This window comes from Homo sapiens, chromosome 9 (assembly GCF_000001405.40).
Source record: "Homo sapiens chromosome 9, GRCh38.p14 Primary Assembly".
NCBI classification, from domain to species: domain Eukaryota; kingdom Metazoa; phylum Chordata; class Mammalia; order Primates; family Hominidae; genus Homo; species Homo sapiens.
Genome location: NC_000009.12, coordinates 116,228,928 through 116,254,269, shown reverse-complemented (window position 1 = coordinate 116,254,269; position 25,342 = coordinate 116,228,928). Strand labels below are relative to the sequence as shown.

Below are 25,342 nucleotides of genomic sequence, written 5' to 3'. Positions count from 1 at the left end.
ATAGCCTTCACTGGTTTCTGGGATGCAAAGATGAACACATTATGGTCCTGCTTTTAGGATGCTCATTGGATGGCAAGGAAGAGACAACATTAAAATTGAGGCTTTAAAACAGCCTAAAAAATGTAGGGGCTGTAGGAGCACAGAGGGTTGGTTTCTTACCCTTGATGATGGGGAGGGAGTGAGAAAATTTCCCAAGGAGGTATACTGGCTTGACTGGAGAAAGTCAGAAGTCATCAGGAGAAAGAGGAAAGGACTGGCTTTCCCAGCAAATGACATCATCATACTTGTTTGGTGGAAGACCATTTAGGTAGCAGTATAGATAATGAGTTTGGAAGGAAAGTTGAAAAGGCAGTACCTGAAGGCAAAGAGACCAAATATTCCCTGTAGGATGGAATAAATTGAGTACCTAGAAAATTTTGGTAGTATGCTAGATATTTTTATATTCTATTTTATTTAACAATAACTAAAACTTACAAAATGTCCTTCTTTACTGAATGGCGTTGGAGCTGTGATTAGTCTTCTCAAAAGAATTTATTTCTTAATATTCACATATTAAAGTTATATACACACAGTTTTTTCCACTGAGTGATGACTATGTATGCCTTAATTCCAATTTTGTCTGAGTATTACTCTGAATTTTTAAGGAAACCTTTTATTTCTGTTGACTGAGAGGTACTTTGGTCTCACTTTTTATTGGTGGTGAGGGGTGGTTGGTAAGGATCTGAGACAGAAAGTATTGTATGCCCTTGGGAAGAAATGTTTTGAAAGATAGTTTAACATACTGACTGTGGACCAAGTATCAGAAAAAAATGGCTACTGTTTTATTAGTTTTTGTTGTGATTGTGGCCCAATCAGCTATTTTTCTCTGGACATCACTTTTATTGTTCAATTTTTTAAAAAAATGTATGAAGCTCAGTCAAAATGGAGGACTCAAAGATGAAGAAGATACTGCCATTGGTTTCAAACAGTTCAAAGGGCAAAAGAGAGGATAAACCAAGTAGAGTGTGATTGTAACACAAAGTAGAGTTTGGAGAGTGCTAGCAGAGGAAGACCAAATAGTGGTTTAAAGAACGAGAAAGGCTTAGGGAGGCTTTTTTTTTTGATAGCTGGGTTATGTTGGTTTCCTTCCACAGGTATCCTTAGTGTCCCATACTTTATTACAAAAGTGAGCACACATTTTGCAATCACATGTTGAATGCCTGACTACCTTGGTGTATGTTAAGTGCTTCAAGGACAGAGAATATTAGCCCTTCCTTGCTGTATCTCTGTGCCTGGTGCAGTGCCTAGCACAGAATAAGTTCTCAGCAATATCTGTTGAATGAATTAATAGTTTGAGAAAGCACACATATCAAAAAATGTGAGTGATAAGTATAGTGCTCTGAGCAGTAGAAACAGCATAAAACAAGACAGAGGTAAATTTTTCTAGATTAAGAACAGTTCATTTAGACTGAAATTCACGGTATACCAAAGGAAGTGGAAACGTTTCGCTAAAATGGTTGGGTGGAGTGAGCAGTAGATGGCAGGAGGCTCTGAGGTGAGATGTTGGGGCTTGAATCATCAAGTGACGGAGAATCACTGTTGTAAACGCAAGGAACTGAATGCAATAATTCTCCAAGCCTCCAGCCTATCTCCAGCTGTAGAAGTCAGAACTTAGATGTGCTAAGGGTAGTTGAGATACTGAATCTGCCTCCAGTCTTTGTATAGCCTGGGATCCCACCACACCCATCTTCCCTCTTTCTGGACCCAGCTACTCAGTAGACTGCAGCCCTTCCACTTCAGGTGCCCCCTTATTAAAGCAAAGCTGTCATGCTGAGGACTCAGTGCCAAGAAAAAATCTTTGGGAAAATGGCCTTTTGCCCTGTAACATCCATTTTCTTATTTCTCCTGGTGGTCACTGTGAGCTCCAACCCATTGTCTGGATTAAATAAATGAAAAATGAGATGACAGAGATCTGAGACTCCATTGGGCATTTGGATTCCTTCTCAATGGGGCTAGGGTCCATCCCTCTCACACAGGTAATGCAAAACTCATTCTTTTCCTACTGGCAACGACATCCTTACTCTGTACAAGGCTCTGAAAGGAGCAATTGTGTACATGTGACTGATTAATTCCAGCAATCTTTGATATAATTGTCCAAAGATTTGCCCTGGTACTAATTTAAAACACAGTAGCCAATTTAATAAAACTAACAGTTTGCAGCCAAGGCCTTTGTTATTTTGTTTTAATCATCTTTTACCACCAATTGAAATGATTTTCTACTTTCTTGGTGCAATAAAACAAAATAGAAGGGAAAGAATGGAGGGACAATGTGGAAATTATAAAAGATCCAGAGCTTCGAATCCCGGGACGAGGTAACAGCGGTCCTGAGATTTAACTGGTAATTTGTGTCAGACTGAGATTTGAAGGGAAGACATTTAACAGTTTGGAGGAAACTCCACACCTGGATAGCATTAAAGAAGGGAGAGAGGAAAAGATCTACAAAGAACTCTTGTTTTTTTCCTGAATGCAACCAAAGGCGATGTGTGACAGCTTCCCCAAACATTCTACTGGTGATGGACAGGTCACTTGATTACAGAGCAGGGGCTTGTGACAAGCTGACCAGTCACCAAGGACTCTGGGAGCCAAAACACCAGATACAGTTGGAGGTAAACAGGCATGCTGCAGAGTGTGAAAATCGAGGCCAAGTCAGGGCCAGGGAGTCCAACGGAGGGCCCCAGTGACAGCTGGTGATTGAGCGGCACTAACTGAACACAGTTGTGGAGGACTAGGGGCCAGTAAGGAAAGCCATCTCCTTTCTCCTCCCTGTGGCCTCTCTGGGTGGCCAGCAATTTTATTACTGGCAGAGGGCAAACCCAACAGCATTTTCGAATTTGGCACCACATCTAAAACCATTTGGGGACTGGGCTTCTCTTTCTTCTCTCCCCTTACCCTTCCCAGGAGTGGCTTGAGTTCCATGAAAACCAGCGTGCAGTTAGCAAACTACATTTCCCCTCAATTCTGAAACCCATGTGCACTTGGGGAAAATGTAATCCTTATGTTTCTGATTCATTTACACTTAACTCATCAAAACGCTATTTTGTAAGAGCTATTTGATGTCCACGAAGTCTTCTGAGCTCTTTTGTAAGCCTTGCTTCTTAGAAGCAGGAAGTCACATTTCTGATGAGAGAGAGAACTTGAACCTAAAAGGTTGAGTTTGTTTTGAAATTAAGACTCTTGGAGGGTCACATGAACCCTGAGCTTAGCCAAATGTGTTCTCTCATTTCCTATACCAACCCCATCACCGGCACCAGCTGCCATGACGTTACTATGTCAGCTCTCTAAGATTTCATTCCCAGCAAACAAGGGAGACTTCTCTATGATCAGAGGGAGCTGAGTTCAAATGTGAGTCCCAAGGTCTGGCCAATGTCCAACACTCTGTTACATAGGGGAAGAAACACCTGGACTGGGAATTAGGAGCGCTAAGTTCAATTCTCTGTTCTGCCATTGAATGGCTGTGTGACTCTGAAGAAGTGGCTTCCTCTTTCAGCTCAATTCTCTCATATGTCAAGTGTCAGTCCTGGCATAGATGATCTTCAATAATCTTTCCTGGTCTGAGAGTTTTTCAGTCTAATTCCCAGACAGTAAGAAGTTCAAGCATCTCAAAATTCTCTGCTTAAAATTTTTGGAGACTGACTTCGTATACACAGAGCTTAGCTCAAGAAGGAAACACAAATATGTAGAAATCAGAGCTGGATGACTTTGAATATCACTTACTCCAAGTTTCTCATTGTGGGATGGATACTAAAGCCCAGATATGGGAAATAAATGGCCGCAAGTCATATGGCAAATTAATGGCTGAGTCCAGCTGTCCTGGCATTTTTGACTAACATCCTTGGATGGAAGTTTCTAAACTTTTCACTTCATAGGATTCTGAAACTGGGGCAAAAACCTAGTTCCCACTCTGACAACAAGAATGTAAAAGCTAGCATCAGAATGGAAGGGGAGCTGGCATTGCTTTGCACAGTGAGGTTGTGTCTGGCTTGTATTAAAGCCCATGAGTGAATGATTAATCCTGGGTAGAAAACAAAGCCTGAGCCTTGTAACGTTATAGGTATTAGTTCTATGGAAGATTAACCCCCGATACCCCATGGGACCTCTTTAGAACATTGGACTACACTTTGAGAATCAGCAGATGATGAAAACAGGTGGTCTCACAGGTCTTTGTTTGCCTGCTCCAAACACACACACACACACACACACACACACACACACACACATATGCAGGTACTCATGCATGCATGTACATGCACACACACACATGCATACAAACATGCATATGTATGCCTCAATTGCTCCTGCATCTCTGCATAGGAAAGAAATGTTGTGGCTGAAGGTGAACTGCCCTGTATGCCTGCCTCTGATTCACAGGCCAGCAACTGGAAGGCACTTTTGAACTCCTTCTCCTTGTTTCATCCCAACCCAAATATGCCTCTATAGCTGCATTCATTGTGTGTTTCAGTGATGCCAGTAACACAGGCATCTTTCATAACACACTCACCTGCCTCCTCCTTTTGATTAGTTTTCCAAGTATTTTATCCCATTAATATCCCTCAGCCCCACCCGGTGCTCTGCATTTCCACTTGACCACCATAGACAAGTGCCATCATCTACTTCAGTTTTGGCAACATTGCTTTTCCTCGTTTACCATTTTGATCTATGCCTCCATCCTTACTTCTATCCAGACATACACACACAGCCAAAAAGATGTCCTAAAACCAAATCTAATGAAGATCTTCTCTTACCTTACAGACACTCAATGGCTCATCACCACTCTCAGGATGAAGTCCAGACCTTACAGCAATGAACTCTGGGATCATCATGATCTAACCCCTGTCAACTTCTCTGGCCTCTTTGCTCAAACTCTCTTCTTGAAATTTTACCCTCAGCCACCACCCTGAGCAAGCAGTCTCACTTTCCTTCCCTGGCTAAATTTTCTTGCCTTGGCTTAGTTGCTGCCTCTTTCAGGAGATTCTCACTAACCTGTGAAGCTGAGTGAGGAGCTCTTAGCCCATGTGCTTCCCTTTACATAATAGCTTTTGCACTGTTAGATATCACTTGTTTATGTGTTTACTTTCACATTAAGTAGACTAAGCTCCTGAAAGGCTAGTATGTCCCTTACTGACTGGTTTATCTTCACTGCCTACTATAGGACCTGTTACACAGACAGTGCTAAATAATTGCCTGTTGAATGAATGAAACACAGAATTACACCTTCTGGCCCAATGCCTTTGCTTTAAGGATAAGAGAGCTGAGGCCCCAAGAGGAGCAGTGACCATGCTGTAAGATTCTCATTTGTCCTTTCAATCCTCTAGTAACTAATCCACCTTAGAAGTTAAAAGAAAGACCTTCAATATACCAGATATGATGTGTATTATCATGATTTTCTGACCACTTATTGATGTACCACAGGGTTTACTGATCCATTTATTCATGCATGCATGCATTTATTTATCTGTATTTATTGACCATCTACATGATGTCTGGCCTTGCACAAGAAGCTAGGGGTAGAGAATAACATGGCAGATATTACACAGCCCCCACCTCTAATATCTCAGTGTCAAGTTAAAATGCCATCCAGGAAAAATGCACCAAAACATTTTGAAATTGTCTCAAAGGAAGAGCTTTGTAAGTCCTAAGAGAGAGGCTGGGTCTAGGTGGAGTCCTGAGAGTCCCACTGTGCCTGGAGGCTTTCTTTAGATCTAGATGGCCAGCCCCCAAACTCAAAGTTCAGACTTACTAACAACATGACATGTAACCTGCTGCCTCCGTCTTTACTTAATTAGATGCACTGAGTGCAGGTGAGAGCTAAAGGATAATCTGAACAGAATTTCAGAGCTATGACCTACCCCTTTATTTTATAGACAGGGGTCTTGGGCCCACAGTTGGGGACCCACCTGATCAAGGACACAACAAAATTTCAGGATACCAGTACTAGAATCCAGGTCTCCTGATCCAGGGCCAGCACATGGTGTGTTTTCTCTCTTATTTTTTCTTTAGCTCAGTTACAAAGGTTAAAGTACAATTTATCTTTTCCTTCTTCTAACCCAACACTGAAGCATAGCAACTCCTGGTAGAGTTTACGGGAAACTGCTTGATGTGTGTGTGTCTGTATGTGTCAGAGTGTTTGCCTTTTACACATACTCTCTATCATGGCTCTGGCCAAGAACAAGCGTAGTGAAAAATCAAACAATAGAAAGAATCATGAACATTTAAATCTTTACAGTTCACTAGATTGCATCATGTTCTTGCAAGTCTATTATCTTATCAGTTTTTCCCACCACTCCTTGTTAGACTATATGGACAGTCACCCACTTTGTCCAAGGGAAGGAACTTAAGCTTAAACAATGGAAGAAAGCTGTTCCACAGCAAGGCTGGTGCTGGTGTGGGAGTCAGATCTCTTGATTCCAAATTCAGCATCTCTAAAGTGGTGTCTGAGGTTGTGTTTTAACAGACACAACATAAACCCACCAAGACCTGCCCTCATGATTCTCAGTGTCTCCAAGCACAGACTGAATAGATTTTGTCCATTCCTCTTGCCAATGCCCAGTGTGAGATAAATTCCTCCATTCTTCTCACATCTGTAATTGCTCTGACAGCTGTTATTTTCCTTCTCTTTCCTCTTCATTTATTTGTTTTCTTAAAAATCAGGAATTGGAGCAGCACAACCAAGTCTAGTCCATCCTACCTACCCCCAGAGTGAACAGAAAATAACAAAGTAGTAGGTGACACCAGGACACACATTGCAACCTGATTTCACTAACTCATCATTTTCCAAAGGAGCTTCCTCAGTAACGCTAGTCATATGATATGTGATAAGAAAACAGGGTACCTTTTTCAAACAATGTCAGAATAGACTACATAAAGCATTTCAGCAACCTCTGGGAGCCTCACAATTAAAAGGAAAAGTAGCATGTTCTGTGAAGTTCTGCAGAACAAGACCTCCTGAATAGAGTTGAAACTAGCATTCCTTGCATACACACAGACCTCTTTTTCCCTCTCAGAATTGATATTAATATGTCATGAAACTATTAATCCATAGACATCTATAGAAATATTTGGACATATAACAATTGCTCTGTTTGTTTTTCTGCTGAGAGATATAGACACATTTCCTCTATCAATGTGGTGCAGCTGGATGATCAAGACCCATCATCTCCTTCCCCAAGGTAACAACATTTATTTTCTCTCTCTCTTTTTTTTATTCTTGGAGACAGGGTCTCACTCTGTTGCCCAAGCTGGAGTGCAGTGGTACAATCATGGCTCACCACTGCAGCCTTTCCCTCCCAGCCTCAAGTGATCCTCCTCCCTCACCCTCCTGAGTAACTGGAACCACAGGTGCACATCACTATACCTGACTAAATTATTATTATTGTTATTTTGTCAAGATGGGGTCTTTCTATGCTGTCCAGGCTGGTCTTGAACTCTTTGGCTCAAGCAGTCCTCCCACCTCAGCCTCCCAAATTGTTGGGATTACAGGCATGAGCCACCGCATTTGGCCTTCATTTTCTTTTCTATCTATAACCTTGCTTTTTAGCAAACTTGACTTCAATGTCTAGACTCTGATCATTTCTGAGGAGAAACATCTCAATTCTAACCAATAGTCTTGCATGCCAGGAAGTTTCTTTCCACTCAAGTTTATTCATGCATGTTTATAAGAGGCACAAGGTTGAAGTGGCTAAGAATCTCACCTCTAACTCTTCCAGAGGGAAGTTTCTTAATGTCCTTAAACATTAGTTTTCTCAGCTGTAAAGTGGAACTAATAATAAAAGCTCAAAGAATTTTTTAAAAGGATTAAATAAGAAAAATTTTTTAAAGCACTTAGCACAATGCCTTGTACATAGCCAATAAATGATGGATATAATTATTACACTTGTATAATAACACAAATAGTCCTAGCTTAGAGTCATCAAACCCATTATTTTACCAGCTGGGTGTATGTGGGCCCGTTACATAGTTTATCTGAGCATCTTTTATAGAATGGGGGAAAAATCTGTTGAGGACATTAGGATATCTGTTTGAGATTATATATTAATGGGAAGTGTGTCAGGTCCATTGTAAAGACCTATTACATTTTTCCTATCATTATATGGGGAACAGGCCTAATGCATTTTGGATAATTCATTCAAATACACATTTAAAACACCTTCTCAAAGCCTTTTAAAATCATTCTAAACCAGGAAGGGTTATGTTAACTACACACAATTTTCCATATAGAATATTGCTTTCTTTCTATTTGGATGGCATCAGGATTGAGCAGATTATTTTTAATGATTCTGAAAGATAAGTGGGATAGAAAATATGGTGGATGAGATAGTAATTTTATGGTTATGGAAAAAGATTCTGTTACTTTGCGGAGAGGTTTCTTACCATGTTGTAAGTAGACATGGGTGGCAATAGTTCCAGTTCAGCCATGAGCAATTTCAGTCCTACGTGTTTAACAGCCTTCTTAGCATTTCCTCTCTTACGACTCATGGGAGTCTCAAACACAATATGTCTAAGACTGAACTCTTGATCTACCCCATGCCCAACAAAACAATAAATTAAAATATATTCCTCTATTTCAGGAAATAACGTTTCCCTCATTCCAGATATTCAAACCAGAAGTTGGAGAATCATTAAACAGCTACTTCTTACTAAACTGCTTGAATCCAATCTATCACCAAGTCCTGTTGGTTCTACCTTTAAAACATACCTCCAATTCATTCACTTTTCTATGCAAATAATCATCATCTTTGGTTTGGACTTCAGCAGTCAACCCTAAATGGATTCACTCACCCTTCCTCAATCCTTTCTTCACAGAATACCAGGGCAGTATTGTAAAATCTCAGACCTGATTGGTTTAGTCCCTCTATTTCATAATGAATAAATCTAAACTCAACATGAGCCACAAACTCTTCATAATCTGGCCCCTTCTTTTTTTATTTGTATAAATTTATGGGGTACAAATATAATTTTATTACATGCATAGATGGCAGAGTGAATTCAGGGTTTGGGGGGTATCTACGGTCTGAATAATGTACATTGTGCCCCTTAAGTAATTGCCCATCATCCACCCCCTTCCATTCCCCCACCCTTCTGAGTGTCCATATTGTCTGTCACTCCATACTCTATGTCTATGTGTACACATTATTTAGCTCCCACTTCTAAGTGAGAATATGAGGTATTTGTCTATGTCTGAGATGTTTTACTTAAGATAATAGCCTCCAGTGCCACCCATGCTGCTTCAAACGACAAGATTCCACTCCTTTTAATGGCTGAGTAACATTCCATTGTGTACATATACCTCGTTTTCTTTATCCCATCATCCATTGATGGATGCTTAGGTTGATTCCATATCTTTGCAATTGTGAACAGTGCTGTGATAAACATATGGGTGCAGGTATCTTTCTAATGATTTATCTTCTTTTGGGTAGATACCCAGGAGTGGGATTGCTGGATCAAACAGTAGTTCTATTTGTAGTTCTTTGAAAAATCTCCATGCTCTTTTCCATAGAGGTTGTACTAATTTACATTTTCATCAGAAGTGTATAAGGGTTCCCTTTTCTCCACACCCTTACCAACATCTGTTATTTTTTATCTTTTTATAATAGTCTGGCTCCTTCTTATCTCTTTACTCATCTTCTACAGACTCTCTCTTAATTTAAGGGGGATGTATACTCTATTATAACCTCTTGAAATAATACTCTTCAGTTTGTAATTATAATTTTGTGTGTACTATTATTCAGCTCTCCTACCAGATTATAAGATTCAGAGTTACACTCCCAGTACAAAGATTGACATGCAGTAGGCACTCCTATTAAATGCACGAGTGAATAAATGTAGAAACAAACAAATGAATAAATTTATCAATGGAACTATCGGTTCAATTTTTAACTTCTATGGGTCTCAGTTTGCCCATCTGTAGAAGAGAACCTATAATGGTTCACTTACTACAAAGTTTAGTAGTGCATTAGAGTAATCTATAAAAGTTTATATAAGCAATTTTGGTGGTATTAGCACCAAACAGGAGCCCTTCACCCTTTCAAAATTGAGAAGGCACTTGGAGATAGCACTTCTATGGCTGTTAATGACCCTGGAGATCAGTTGATTTTGTTAAGCCCTTTTGCTTATCCTAATATTCCCAGAACCCATATTTCATTCTGAGAAATACTTGGCCAAGACTGATGAGAGGGAGTCATAGGTGGATAATGCCTGGTTTCCAGAACCAGAGTGAGATTGTGCTGACTATGTGCTCCCCTGGCCTGAGCTAAGAGCAGTGGTATTCATTCTGGGCTTGGAAAAACAACTCTCTATACTGATGCTGCTCATCTCTTCTGGTGGGTGGGACATCAGAATGTAGGCAAAACCATGCTGGGCAGGCGTGGGAGAAGGCCCTGCTCAGGAAGGGGTCCAGCCTGAATCATGCATTTCAGCAACAGGTTACTGGAAATCATGCTGGTTTGGCCATGTCCACACTTCCTAAGCCTCCTCCTCCTCATCTGCTTAAATGTTCAAAAAAACAATAAAAAAATTTTGCTTTCTCCTCTCTTTGGTGTTTATTCTATTGCTTTTGGAAATAAGAAGATCTAATTTTAGTATTCATTTTCTCCATCGATCAAGATACCATCTTGTCCTTTGTCAGTCATTATGACAATGACTGTGCTCTGTATCTTGCCAGGCACACCCTTTGGGGTCAGGCAAAGGGATATAAAACTTGGCTTTAGCATCTATTAACTGGGGGACCTTAAATCAATGACCTTATCTCTTATAGTCTGAGCTTCTCCATCTAAGAAGTCAGGCATGCTAATACCTAAACACCATTGGTAGACTTATAAAAAAGTACTGAGCATATATGAAGTTTTCACTAGATGGTAGTTATTGTTAGCAGTAATGTTAGTGCTACCAGTAGTAAATGCTACAAATCATATTAGCAATGTGAAGATGGTTAACACAGTGACTAAATTTAAGCCCTGCTGAGAGCAGAAACCGGGCTGGTTTTTGTTACCTATTGTATCTTCAGAATGTGTCATGGTTCTTAGCACAGGGATTGTACTAAATCAGCATTTGATAAATATATCAATACATAAAAGAAGAATCAGAGTAACTTCTGCATAAATGCTATTTCCCTCTTAACTTCCTATTTCACCCTGGATTCTGATAACATTAATGGACATGCAATAGGGCTGACATTGAAATCCCAATTTAACGAATGAGAAATAGAGGTGTGAAGGAGATTAAAGATGAGGCCCATCTTAAGGATATGAATAGACAAGTCATAGAACAGGAAATGCAATTATCCAGTAAATGTATTTGAGTAGATGCTTACTTAAGAGCACATAACAGAAATGTCAATGAGAAGTCATATTTTTCCCATCAAAGTGGGTAAAAAAGTGCAAAGAAAAAACACTTTCATTATGCCAAATAATAAGCAGTCATGATACAAAATAGCAGGTCTTGGCACACACTGCTAGTGGGGTGGAAGCTAGTTCACCTGCCCAGAATGTCATAGTTGTGTCCATTAAAATGAAAAAGGCCCATAGCTTATCACCGGCAATTTCTCAGTATTCACCCTAGCAAAATGCTTGCATGTATGTGCCTGCAAGGATGTTTGTACGAGAATGCTCACTGCAACATTTGCTTGCAGCAGAAAAATGTGTGAAGTGACCTAAATGCCCACCATTAAGGGTATGGCTAAATTACCTGCAGCACATTCATACTGTGGGATACTGTACAGCAGCTAAAAAGATTGAAGTATATCTAAGAATTGAAGTAGATAGATATCCCAAATTAATACAATTTCCATCTCAAAGCTGTACATTTGATCTGTGGTTGAGTATGCCCTTCTGACATGCAGTATGCTTGTTCCTTCCTCCCTTCATTTATTCTTTCATTCATTTATCAATCTTGGCTGAACATCCACTTAGTTTCAACCATTTGAACTGTGGTGAACTTCTTCAATGATCAGCTGTTATGCATCCTTCAAGTCTCAGCTTACATGTCACTTCTTCCAAGAAGCCCTCCTTACCTATTCAAGCTCAGTTAGACACCCTTCCCATGTTTTCTCACAGCCCCCCTGCCCCCCGTGCTCCTCACACCATAACACTTTTCATGCTGCAGTATAATATTTTTCATTTAGAACCATGTGCTCATGAGGCCAGAGATCATGTCTGTATTAATCAGGGCTGCATTCGTAGCACAGAATAGATATTTAATAAATATTTGTTAAATGGGACAAGTATTACTTAACATGGATTATATTAGATTTTCACTAGTTGATGGATGAATGAATGAATAAATTAATACATACAAGAACAAAGGATGGATGACAAGGTGAGAAACGGAAAGAGCTATAAAAAGAAATGAGGCTTAGGAAAAAAAAAGGAAGAAAGAAAGTGGTGACTCAGCTCAAGAGCCATAGAAACAGCATGTAAGAGCCACCTGTGCCTTCACCTGACCCTGATTTGGGGTAAACTTTCCAAATCCTCTGAGGCTTAATATGACATTACATATCAATGTTATAACTAAGATCTGAAAGCAAGAGACGCATCTTCTTAGAGCCCACTTTGTGCTACTGCTGACTTATTCTTCACATGATCAACAAGTATCCATGGAGCCCCTATTGTGTCATTTAAGTGTCATAAATTTTGTACTTAAGAATATGAACCAGGTGAAGGAAAAACCACAAGCACTGTTAAATATAATACAACACAAACTGTGATCAAGGACTAAGGATCATGTTATAAGAAATTCATATTCCAAACAGGCTGGGATCCCAGGGATGGCAGCTCAGCTAGCTTTCATTATAAGTTACTGGGGGACACTTCTGGTTTCTGTTCAAATGTCATCTCATCAGAGAGGACTTTCCTGACCACCTATCTAAAAATCACTAAATCTTTTCCAACTGGGATATTATATAATAACATGCTTCTTTTATCTCTCCCAACTACAGGATAATAATCAATGAAACAAAAAGTTTTTCTTGCTGTATTCATTATTGAATCCCTAGAGGTTAGAAAGTAGTTAAGCTCATGTTGGAAGTCAACAAATACTTGCTGAGCAAGTGAATTAATGAATGCACTAAAGTTTCTAATTGATGGGTATTCAAAGCATTTGGAGTTCAGAGGCAAAAATTTGGATCTGATTTGTAAAATTTGGACTCACAAGAATGTCCACCCAGATCATATAAACATCTCCTTTCCTTATGTCTATTCATTTCCCCAAAGAATTATATTGAGAATGCCAAGGAGGTGAGATAAAATAGATATAGATTGTGTTGGAAGCTTTACAGGTCTGAATGTGAGAGAAGAATTAATAGATGACTAAATTGGGATACACAAATAAGCCAGTTGAGAGAGATGACTTTTAAGAATATTTCTAGCTCTCAACTGAGGATCCTAAGAAGACAGAGGCATAAACAAACATACTTGTTCAATCAGAGAATGAATGATCAAGAGCATTAGCTTTGGAGTTGACAGATCTACTTACAGACCCCAGCTTTGCCCCTTGATAGCTGTAAACTATAATCCACATTCCTTCTCTGAGTTTCCAGTCCCTATATATAATCTGGGGATAGGACCACCTACATTGTGGGGTTGTTGGGATGATTAGATCAAATGAGATTATCTATGTAAAGTCCCTAGTTAGTGCTTGACACATAGTACAAGCTTACTACATTTTGGCTTCTCCATTTCTCTTCAAATGCTAAATTCCTTCTCATTCTTCATTCCAGAACCATTTAAAGAACATTTTCTCAGTGCTTACCTTGTGTCTATAATTGTTCTACGTGCTTGGAATGCACCAGGAGAAAAACAGGAAAAAAATCTAGCCCTCGGGGAGTTTATATTCTAGTTCTAAGTTTAGACTTCAATTCATCCAAGTTTGGGTTAGAAACCTCTGACTCTGTGTTTCTGTTTCTTCCATCAGAATATTATTATACTGCAATGACACTGCTTGCCTGTCCCTCTCTTTTCCCATAGACTGTGAGCACCTTGAGTTTTCAGCACCACTGGATCACCATTTCTTAAAATAGTGCATAGCACCTAATAGATACCCAGTGAATATTTGTTGCATGAAGTGATGGATGAATGAGACAGACCAATAAGTAGATGAGAGTGAGCTACTGTTCACTGTTCCTGGTTTGCTTTATACTTTGCTTTCTCAGTTTTGTCCAGAGTATTTACTTCTTGGAGAAATCTGAAGATTCCATATAGGCCAAGGAGCACAGTGCTCAGTGTAGAAGCACTTGACAGCCAAGTGGAGAAAAAGATGCTTCCCTGCTATTTCTTCCCAGCCAGAAGCATAAAGAACTGTCTGTGTAATTTGTGTTATTGGACACCAAGACATCAAGGGTGGGCCACAGGGACTGATTGTGGACTAGTGGCCTCTGACTTGTAAGCCTGTCTTCCCCTTGCTATATTTAGAGCTTTGGCCAGATTGGATGCATTTCTCAGCTCTAAAATTCTGCCTTTACATTATTGTAGTAGGAAGTAGTATGGGTAGTGGTTAGGAAGGTGGAATTTGGAATTAGACTTAAGTTTGAGGCCTGTCTATGTCATTACTAGCTGTATGAGGTTAGTTTAATTACTCTCTGAATTTAAGCTTTTTCACCTACCTCAGAAGTGTTTGTAAGGCACTTAAAGCAGAGGAAATACTTAGTAAATGGTTGTCATTATTGTGGTCCACATTTCAGTAGGGCATACAGAGCCAGTGAGGTTTCCTCTGGGTACTGATTCTTACAGATAATCCCTATTGAATTCCTTTTACTACAAAAAAGTATGTGAATCACCTGTTACCCCAGACACCTTCTCTATGTCTACCCATAGAGAAGGGCTTAATGTGTTGGCCTCTCATTGTACAGATATGGAAACTGAGGTCCAAATAGGTGATGCGGTGTGTCTTTGTGTCATATGGTGAGTTTGTAGCAGAGTTGGCACTGGTACCCTTTCTTCTGATAGTGTCATTTCTCATTCGATAGAGGGGTTTCCACTTAAGGGAGATGGAGATGTTCCACATTTCTTTCTGGTCCTGGCCAAAAGTAATCAGTCTACTAGAAGTTTCCATGGGGTAAGCACAGAAGGCTCTCTCTTCATCACTGTCATACCTTGGGAAACTATCTCCAGTGTAGATAACAGAAAGAATAAATATTTTTGTTGAGAGAAAAAAAATGAAGACAAAGGTCAAAGGGAATCATGTAATGGGTTGAGTCAGGAAAGAAAAAGAAAGCATTTTTTCCCTCTCCTCTTTTTCTCCAAAACAGTCTTTATATAGAACTTGTATAAGAGCCAATTTATTTGATATGGAAAAAATGTGAAAGCAGCAAAATACACATACACACACATATACACACAAAGAGGTATTTGTGGTGGGGTTCAGGACTCAAATTACCAAGAGATAAAGGAGTTGAAATGGTAGGTTGATTTGGAAGGATGTGTTTCTCTTTTTTCAGTCTCAGAGAACATTCAGGTCAGGAAGCCCAGCCCATCCCAGCCCAGATCTCCAATAAACTCCTTGAAACACAAAAGATTCGAAGAGGAAGGCCGATGAAAGCCTCAGTCTAGCCCTTGTGCTTGACACATAGTAGGGACTAAAGAAATATTTGGAGAGTGAATGAAAGAACAAATTGTGCATAAGAGTGTCGACCTCACTACTGATGATTTGGCACAGTACGTGGCACTTTTACAAAGTGGGTAGGAGCTCAGCACTTAAGTTTGAGTGCCTTCAAGAAAGGGACTGGTCTGAGTCATCCTAATACTGTTTCCAGTACAGAATCTGGCATATAGAATGTTCTCATTACATATTTGTGAGTTGAGCAAGTAGTTGCATGAGTGAAAGAGAATTTGGAGATTCCTGGCCTTGGAGATAATTTAGAGCAGTGGCTATTAAACTTTAACTAGCATCCAAATTACCTGGAGAGGCCCTGCACTCAGAGTTTCTGATTCACTAGGCTGGACTGGGGCCTGAGAGCCTGGCCTTTCTCAGTTCCCAGGTGATACTGATGCCATTGGTCTGGGGCCACACTTTGAGAACTTGTTTAAGTGCACTGGTTTTTAAACTTGTTTAAACTTGTTGCAAATTATAATCACCTTATGAGATTTTAAAAGTTCTAATGGTCAGGCCTTATTCTTAACCATTAAATAAATATCTCGGGGGAGAGTGGAGATGGGATACAAGTGAGACCCAGGCAATTTTTAAATGTCCCAGTTTTTAAATGTGCAATCCAAATTGAGAAGAACTAGCCAGGTGCAGTGGCTCATGCCTGTAATCCCAGCACTTTGGGAGGCTGAGGTAGGCAGATCATGAGGTCAGGAGTTCTCAGACCAGCCTGGCCAACCTGGCAAAACCCCGTCTCTACTAAAAACACAAAAATTAGCCCAGCGTGGTGGTGCGTGCCTGTAATCCCAGCTACTCAGGAGGCTGAGGCAGGAGAATTGCTTATACCTGGGGGGTGGAGGTTGCAGCGAGCCAAGATCACACCACTGCACTCCAACCTGGGCAAGAGTGCAAGACTGTCTTGGAAAGAAAAAAAAAAAAAGAGAGAGAGAAGAATTAATCCAGTGCAACCTCCTGCATGCAAAGTTGAGGCATCGGAAGACTAGAAAGGACAAGTGACTCACCTAAGAGGGTAGAGCCAGTTAGTGATTTAGCTGAGATTTTGCTGAGAATAGAACTAAGCTAAATCACTAAGGGTTCTTTCATTTATTCAGTTTAATTTTCACCATTTCAAACTTATCAACCCATGGCAGCTCTCATAGGCTCGTAACTCGAGGCAAAAAAAGGAAAGCTGAGTTTAAACTGAGATTTTAAAACATCTATTATTTCTTCCCTCCATTGTTTTATAAAGAAAGTTTAAGTGGAAGCATATTTATAGAACTCTACCACTCTAGACAAGTGAGGAGATGGAAGAGACAGGGTTATGGAATATTTTTAAGGCAAGACTATCCTTTAAATTTTAAGTACATTCTCAAACACAAACCAAGTGCTCTTTCTGAGTTCTTAAACAGCTGTTCCTCATCTCTGATTCAATGAATTAGCAAGAGTTTGCCTGTGATGTGCACATTAATTGCTAGTATGTAAAAGGAAGTGCTGGTAAAGTGTTTGAAAGTGGTTCTGCCCTTTAAAAAGATTAAAAGTTTCCTCTAGAACTTGGTTCCCATTAATGATTGGCTTAGTGAATATTTTCAAGTAGACAGAGCAGAGATTGTCTTACATCATTTTAGAACCAAATAAAGAGCCACAAAAGGCCTATAGAAACCATTGACACCCAAGTTAGATGGCGAAGACTCTATCCTTTTTGTAGATTAAAACAGAAGTTGGAATCACATCTTTAATTGAGCACCAGTTGAGTGCAGTGGCTTAGGAGTCAGAACGAAATTCCAATCCTTACCTTCACCGCTTCCTAACTGTGTGATCTTGGACAAGTGACTTCACATCTCTAAGCCCCAGTTTTCTTCTTTGTAAAATAAGAATAATAGGGCTATGGTTGTGGAGAGGATGGAATGAGTAAAAGATGCAAAGACCTTAGCCCATTTTCTAGTACACAGGAAAAGCACTAATGGCTTCATTATAAGATGGTCTTCCTCCTAAGACAGAAATTCTGAGGATGTTTGGGGAAGAAGTAATAGAGAGGTGGCTTGAGAAGTGAGTAATTTTTTTTTTTTTTTTTTTTGAGATGGAGTTTCACTCTTGTGGCCGAGGCTGGAGTGCAATGGCATGATCTCGGTTCACTGCAACCCCGCCTCCTGGATTCAAGAGATTCTCCTGCCTCAGCCTCCTGAGTAGCTGGGATTACAGGTGTTCATCACCACACCCAGCTAATTTTTTTGTATTATTAGTAGAGACGGGGTTTCACCATGTTAGCCAGGCTGGTCTTAAACTCCTGACCTCAGGTGACCCGCCTGCCTCGGCCTCCCAAAGTGCTGAGATTACAGGAGTGAGCCACCTCCCTGGCCGGGAAGTGAGTATGAAAGACAAGTACTACTTCACATAAGAGCAGTGAGCATCCAGAAAGAGTTACGGAAACCTAAAGCTGCAAAGGCCCTAAGGATCAAATGGGTTTGAACCACTGTTCTGCCTCAGGAAATAAGACAAAAACAAGTGCTGTTAAAGTTGATATTCACTTTCCAGCACAATTTTTGTGCAAATACCTAGGACTGTGCCCAACCCCCACCCAATCTACTATAACTTCACCCCCGATTCACCCACTGAAAAAGCAATCAAAATGCATAAATTGTCTTCAATTTAATATAAAAAGAAAATCATTAGCAAACTTCAGTTCTTCTACTTTCATTAGTAATAAATGATTTTCTCACTGCTACTCTCATCCAACCTCCTTCATTTACTATTGGAATGACTAAGATTAAGAAAGGCTTATGAGGCTTAAGGTCACACATCAGATTTGTCACTAAATCCAGGTCTAATGGTTCCTTCCCTATTGCTCTTCCCATGATATCAACTCTGCCATGTTAAGACAAATCTACACCCAATGATGGGTTACAATCCATAGAGTGAGTCTTGACTGTGATGAACCTTCCCCCTGTCCAGGCCTCTCTGACCCACCTCACGTTCCTCCACAACCCACCCACTTAATAAACTCCCTATTCAGAGAATGCACTTACATGTCTACGAATTTCCTATTGAGATGTAGGATGGAGGCCACATCCATCTGGAGAGGAGGGTCCCGGACCACCTTATACTTCAGGGGCTTACACTGTAGACAGAGTGGGGTGTCTGCAGTGGAGGTCAACATGGCAGCATCGATCTCCAGGTGCTCATCCAGCGTGTAGATTTGGATGCCATACACCTCCTCGCCCACGTCCCAGAGTCTGATGGTCAGTGGGACATCACAGAAGACATTCTGAGGACCCAGGGAGATGTTCTTCCCACTGACAGCCAACAGTTTGATGTCATTGACAGCTCCACTAGAGTCCCAGTCAGTGGAGACAAAGGTCACCCAAATGGTCAGAGACTCAGGGACCAAGGGGTAGAGGAACTCCAGCTCGAGGTAGCAGCCTTGAGGCTCAGGGCAGGCTGGAGGAACCGTGTGTGGGTTGACAGCTGAATTTGGGCTCCAGGTGCGGACACTGGACTTACAGGGCTGTTCAACATCAGGATGACCTATGCAGAAGAGATGAGGGAATGAGTTCTTGGGGAAAGAGCTTTATTCCCATCCTTAGAGTTTCCTGTGGACCCCAGGAGAAATTGGTCTGACTAGAACTTAGACAGAGGGGAAAAGGAGAGGAAGGTTCTTGGTGCCTTGGTGAATCTGCTATACACACAGCATCCATCTCATCCCCACCCCTGCAATACAGATTTCAGAGGAATCACCAGACATTCAGTCAAACTGCTTTCATCTCACTACCGAGTCAATGTTCAAACTTTCCTTCCTCATCTTCCACTTAGGAGGCTGTGCTGCCTAAGATGAAAAGAAGTAAAGGGTACATATTGGCTAAACACCCACTGTGTCCCCTGAACTTTAATTCTTGCAAGGACTTATTTAGGAGGTGATAAAACTAAGGCTCCCAAATATAGAGTGAATCGATCAGGTTCATACAACTTGAAGTGTAAAAGCCAGCATTGGAACCGAGTTTTGTTTCATTTTGGAATCTGTATTCTTTGCTGTTCTCCCTATTGGATGCAGGGGACAGTAGAATAAATTAGAATCCTTGTGGTATTACTGCCATTGGTAAAACCTACTTGGACTGACAGAAATCCTAACCCCACCCCCCGACCAGCAAAGAATAGGTGAGCATAAATAGCATCCACCCTGCAGACTGAGGACCTGGGAGGAAACTGTCTAGAACCATGAACAACAGAGCTGGAAGGCAGCCTTGGAGCCCTCTTATCTCTCCTCCTCCCCTTCTCTACATGCAGTCATTCCATACCACTGAGCTTCTCCGCACTCTGTTCTGTCTCACTCAGGAAGGGGAGGGTTGGGTGAGGAGCGGGGAGAAGGAAGGAGGGTTTCTTCTCCTCTTTCCCTAGGGAGATGATGCCTCATCCCCACTGATCTCAGCCTGCAGCGACTTCTGAATTTTTCTCTGCTGAGATCACATCTAGACTCCCAGAGAGCTCTTCCTTGCACTACTGAGGAAAATAACCAGGACTCAATGTAGTGATTGGCTCTAATTTGTTTAAGGGAGCCTCATGAGAGAGACAGACCGGATGGTAAGATGAAGGACCTCAAGTTGCCCAACTAGACACCTTAAAAAAAAATTAAGAGACAGAGTCCTGCTCTGTTGCCTAGGCTGCAGTGGAATGGTCTGATTGTAGCTCATTGCAGGCTCAAATTCCCCTGCCTCAGCCTCCTGAGTAGCTGAATATAGGCATGTGTCCCCATGCCCACCTAGCCACATTCTTTTTTTTTCTTCAGCCTCAGTGGTTGGTTGGGAGGGTGGTGGTGACCCTAGACATTTCTGAAGCAAATAAGAAAAAAAAAAGATCTTTGCTTAAAAACGCTTTGTGGTAATGTTACAGGGTAACAGGAATCACTATAATGTCAATACTAGAAAGTTATTTGGAGTGAAAAAACTATGCCAGTGAAGGCTGTAAATGCCTCTAACCTCCTTGCCTCTGCTTAGCCAAGGAAAGAAAGAAGCCACCAAGTGGAGATGGAGAAGAGAAGAGGAAAAGAGAAGGAGGGGTGAGAAAATACACAGAGGCTTCTTAGATATAATGCATCACAGCAAGAAAAGATGGATTTAATTACAAGATTTCCTCTATCTCTCCTTGGCTAGTTTCATTCATTATTTGCAGTAACTGCTGGCTCAAAGCAACCTTTAGTTTAGGGTGTAAAACACAAGTAGGACTCCCCACCTAGCTGAAGCCTTTCTTCTTGTCTACTTTCCCACACACTGAGTTCCTGACTTTCTTAACTTTGTGGGATGTTGACACACATGTATCACTTATTCATTCAGTCAACTTCATTGAAGGCAGCACTTTACAGTATATGAAACACATCTCCTAGTTATTAGTTAACTCATCTGATTGTCATCAAAATCCTGTAAGATCGTTGTCATTTTGTCTCTATTAAAGAGCACTGCTTCGCTCAACGCCATGTAGCTTTTGCTTAATACAGTGTGCCTAGTCCATAGAGTATTCACATAGCAGATGCTAAATAAATATTTGTTAACCTTCTAGCCTGTTAACATTGAGTTAAAAGTTACAGCATAGAACATTAAAGCATGCTTCCTGATGGTGGGTGCCAGGTGAACATTCCACCCCTCCATGGGCTTTCTCCTGCAACTGGCAAGGGATGATGTAATCTTCCTCCCTTCCTTGGAGAAAATGACTGTCAGGGGTGGGAAGCCACAGGAGAGCAAAGATGACAAATCTGCCTGGCTCATCCTTCCTCCCTAGTTTCTTGTTAATCAACAGAGGGACCAAATACTTCCAAAGGACAGGAAGGTGAGTCTGGTCATTATGCTCAAGCAAGTAAACAGGAGTAGAAATCTTAGCAAAGCTTGTGGTTGTCTGGTTATTAGAGACAAACCCTTAGATGTAAAAAAGAGTCCCTAGAGGCACCAAGTGTAACCATAACCAAAGCAGCAACCTCATTAATAATGCCAGCCTTCACGAGTTGACCATCCTCAATGTGCAGGCACTGTGCCAAGCACATTACACGCCTCAGGTCTTTTTACGTTGGCACTAAGTCTGTGACGCAGGTCTTATGAAATTCATTTTACAGAAGAGGAAACTGAGACTCAGATGGTTCAGAAATTCCCTGGCAGGGAGTAGAATATGATATTGTTGGTCCAGGCAGCGTGCCAGGCTTTGAAGGAATGAAAGTTGGGTTAAAATATCAGTTATAGGGTTTCTCATTGTGTTACCTACTGTAATGTTACCTACCTCAAGGTTGCTGTAAACCTCAAATAGGATGAGATCATTAATAGATTCCCATAAATATATTAGCTCTGTCCTGGAAAGTAGGGACGTATTAACAAGGAAAATATTGGTAAGAGGAGGTATTCCAAGCATGAGAATAGTTGGGAGAGAGTGTAAGTTAAGGTTACTATGGTTTTCAAGTGCAATTGTAGAGCAACAAATGCTGAGGCTGGTAAGCTAAGTAGAACCAAGATTGTGAAGTGGCTTGTATACTACATTAAGGAGGAAACTGAACTTTACACTGAAATAGACGAAGAGCTACTGAGAAATTTTAAGCAAATGAGTGACATCAGGGTCGCCTTTTAGAAAAACCACTGTTGGCCAGGTGCGGTGGCTCATGCCTGTAATCCCAGCACTTTGGGAGGCCTAGGCAGGCAGATCACTTGAGGTCAGGAGTTCGAGACCAGCCTGACCTACATGGTCATCTCTATTAAAAATACAAAATTACCTCGGTGTGGTGGCACGTGCCTGTAACCCCAGCTGCTCAGGAGGCTGAGGCAGGAGAGTTACTTGAACCCGTGAGGCTGAGGTTGCAGTGAGCCGAGATTACGCCACTGCACTCCAGCCTGGGCAACAATAGTGAAACTCCATCTCAAAAAAAAAAAAGAAAAAGAAAAGAAAAGAAAAACCACTGTTTAGAGACACAGACACTATCCATCCATCCATCCATCCATCCATCCATCCATCCATCCATCCATCCATCCATCCATCCGCCCATTCATTCCATGCATTCAAAGAGTAACTATTCAGTGCCAGGTGTGTCCAGAGGTAGGCTAGGCTCCAAGAGAATAAGCTTGCCAACATGATCTCTGTTCTCAGGGAGCTTTTAGTCTTGCAAGACTAGTTAGGAGAGTATTGGACTAACGCAGACAATATATGAACTGCAAGAAAGCATGCAAGGAGATGGCAAGTCAGAATTCCTAAGGAGGAAAAGTGAACACAGCTGGGAGATTGATTGGACATGTAGTCGGAAGGTAAGGACAGGAGCTGAAGAAAAGAAACAAAGCGAGAAGGGAAGGAAGAAGATAAGGAAGGGGGAGGAGGAAAGGTGGAAGGGGAGAAAAGAATAAACAAAGAAGAAAAGAGAACTAAGTGTAAAAGCCCTGTTACTTCATTATTAATAGATATCCTTTTGTATATACAGTGATTAAATTAAAAATTACATGTTTATATAAACTGTCCACTAGAAATAAGGTCATATATGTGTATAGACATATATTTATACATAATCATGCTGATCTATATTTACTTTTGTGAAGCACTATACAGGCACCCGTTATATATCTATATATATATACACTGCAGCTGTTGACACAAATATAGTTATAAAAACTTGGTGCCAAGCTTTTTTCCAGGTGAATAGTTAAGCACACCTGAAATATTCTGGGCAGAAAAATAGAGAAAACACACAAATGAGAAAAAATAAAAACAGTTAGTGCCATGTGCTAATCTCTCATGGAAAACCCAACACTTGGGATCTATTTTATACTTGCATAAGTGATCTTAACTGGGATTTGAGTCAGTCAGATCAAGAAATATATATTTATCTAATTTATAGGCTACAGATAAAACATGGCGTCAAATATCTCAAAAATATTCATGTATGAAATACAGTTTTTGCTCAAGGGGTAGGAGTGCAACCACTGTCTATGAACAAAGGCAAGCAGTTCTATGACTGTATTTACCTTCTTAGAAATGAAGCTAATGAAATGCAGTAGATTTCCAATAAAGATTTGTTAAATGAAGAATCTTCTGCTAGTTAATATGGGATTATATGAAAAGAAGTTACAGCTCCATGCAATATTAGAGCTAGAAAGGATATTATATTTCAACTTTTCATTCTGTGGATACAATGCCATTTTCAGAGAAGCTATGTGACTCACTCAAGGGCACAGAGTACATCAATAGTAGGGCTGAGACCATGGTCCAATCCTCCTCCTTTCCCTCCCCTGCATTCCCCATGTTTTTTCCCCAACCATACAGATATGTCTGGCATTGCTCATGAATTTGGGAGTTTTAAGTTAGTTTGGGAAGTCCAAAAACTTAAACATGTGAAGATAAATAGGATGAGAATGAGTTGAGAAATAAATTGCAGAGTTTGGCTCATGGAAAAGTTTATTTCTTCAAGGATATTAAAAGGGTCTGAGCCAAAAGGATCACAGAGACTGTAATAGGATGCTCTAAAAAAAGAACAGTGTCTTTTCCTGGTGCACATGTACTAAATTTACATAGGAGGAAAACCCAAGGCTGCTGGGTTTCCTTGGAGCTCCGAATTGGCTCAGGGAACCAGAGACCTCAGTGCCTCCAGTTGAACTCCATTCTGCATATCATGCTTTAAGAAGGTCAGGAACAAACTAGGAGCAAACTTCACCAACTAATAGTTGCATTGGATGTAAGTGTGGGGAGATGTCTGGAAATAATTTTATTCAAACAAGTGGTAGAACAAAGCAAGATAATTTTAGCCAGAGACATCTCAGGGGAGAATCTTGCTAATTCTACCTTCCAAGTACCTCTCAACCCCATAAACTTCTCTCCATTCTCACAGCCACCGACCTCACCAGCCCACCATCATTCCTCAGCTGGATTTTGGCAACAGTCACCTTGCTGCTTCCCTTCCTCTAGCAACCAAATCCTCTTGATCTCTTCTTCACACAGCAGTCTGAGCAATCTTTATGACATGCAGGTCTTACCATATATCATGCCCTCATAAAGCACATGGTTTTCTCACTGCCCTTGCTGTGAATCCAAACCCGTCCTCACCTGGCCATTATCTATCTCATCTGTCTTACCTCTGCCACCTCTACCTTGTTTTACATGTTCTGAACCTACTTAAACTCTTATAGCCTTACTGAACTTTTGCTTATGCAGGTTATATCTATTAGTAGTTTCCGCTTTATAAACTAAAGCTAAGAAATTTAAAAATTCAAGAATACAGAAGAGTGTGCTCCATTAGCTATCAGAGCACAAATGACATCACATGTCATGTGTCTATCAGATAGCTCCACTGGACTCTCAGGAGAGAATGAGAGTGGAAAAAGCAAATGATGTCATATGTAATTGTATGAAAATACTTTTGACTTTGAGGATACCCTATAAACGTCTCCAGGAACCCTATAAGCCTCTGAAGTAGATTTAGAAAACAGCCACTCTGTGAACATACCAAACTTTTTCACATTCTCAGATGCACCTCGTTAATAGTGTTGTGATATTTCATGGGAAGACTGAGTCTCCAGTTCTGCATGGGGTCCCCTTCTTATGGGCCCCCAGCACCACTTGGTACTTCTATTACCATAAGCCTGTTCACATTGAATGGTAATTGGCCATTTACTTATCTGACTTCCCTAGCAGACACTCAGCACTGCCTTGCCCATGTGCCCAAGACAGTGCCCAGCATATAGTGCCTGTGTTGGTCACTAGTGAGACAGGCTCACTAGATACAAGCATG

General features: G+C 40.8%; 1 protein-coding gene across 3 annotated transcripts in view; it reads right to left on the bottom strand.

The window, feature by feature from the left end:
- PAPPA (pappalysin 1) overlaps nt 1–25,342 on the bottom strand; it is a 248,531-nt gene that overhangs the window by 148,052 nt on the left and 75,137 nt on the right. For all 3 annotated transcript variants that reach the window (NM_002581.5, XM_017014784.3, XM_006717129.4), the window contains one exon: nt 18,633–19,131. In NM_002581.5, the coding sequence (NP_002572.2) occupies nt 18,633–19,131 (499 nt within the window). The remainder of the gene's footprint in view (nt 1–18,632; nt 19,132–25,342) is intronic.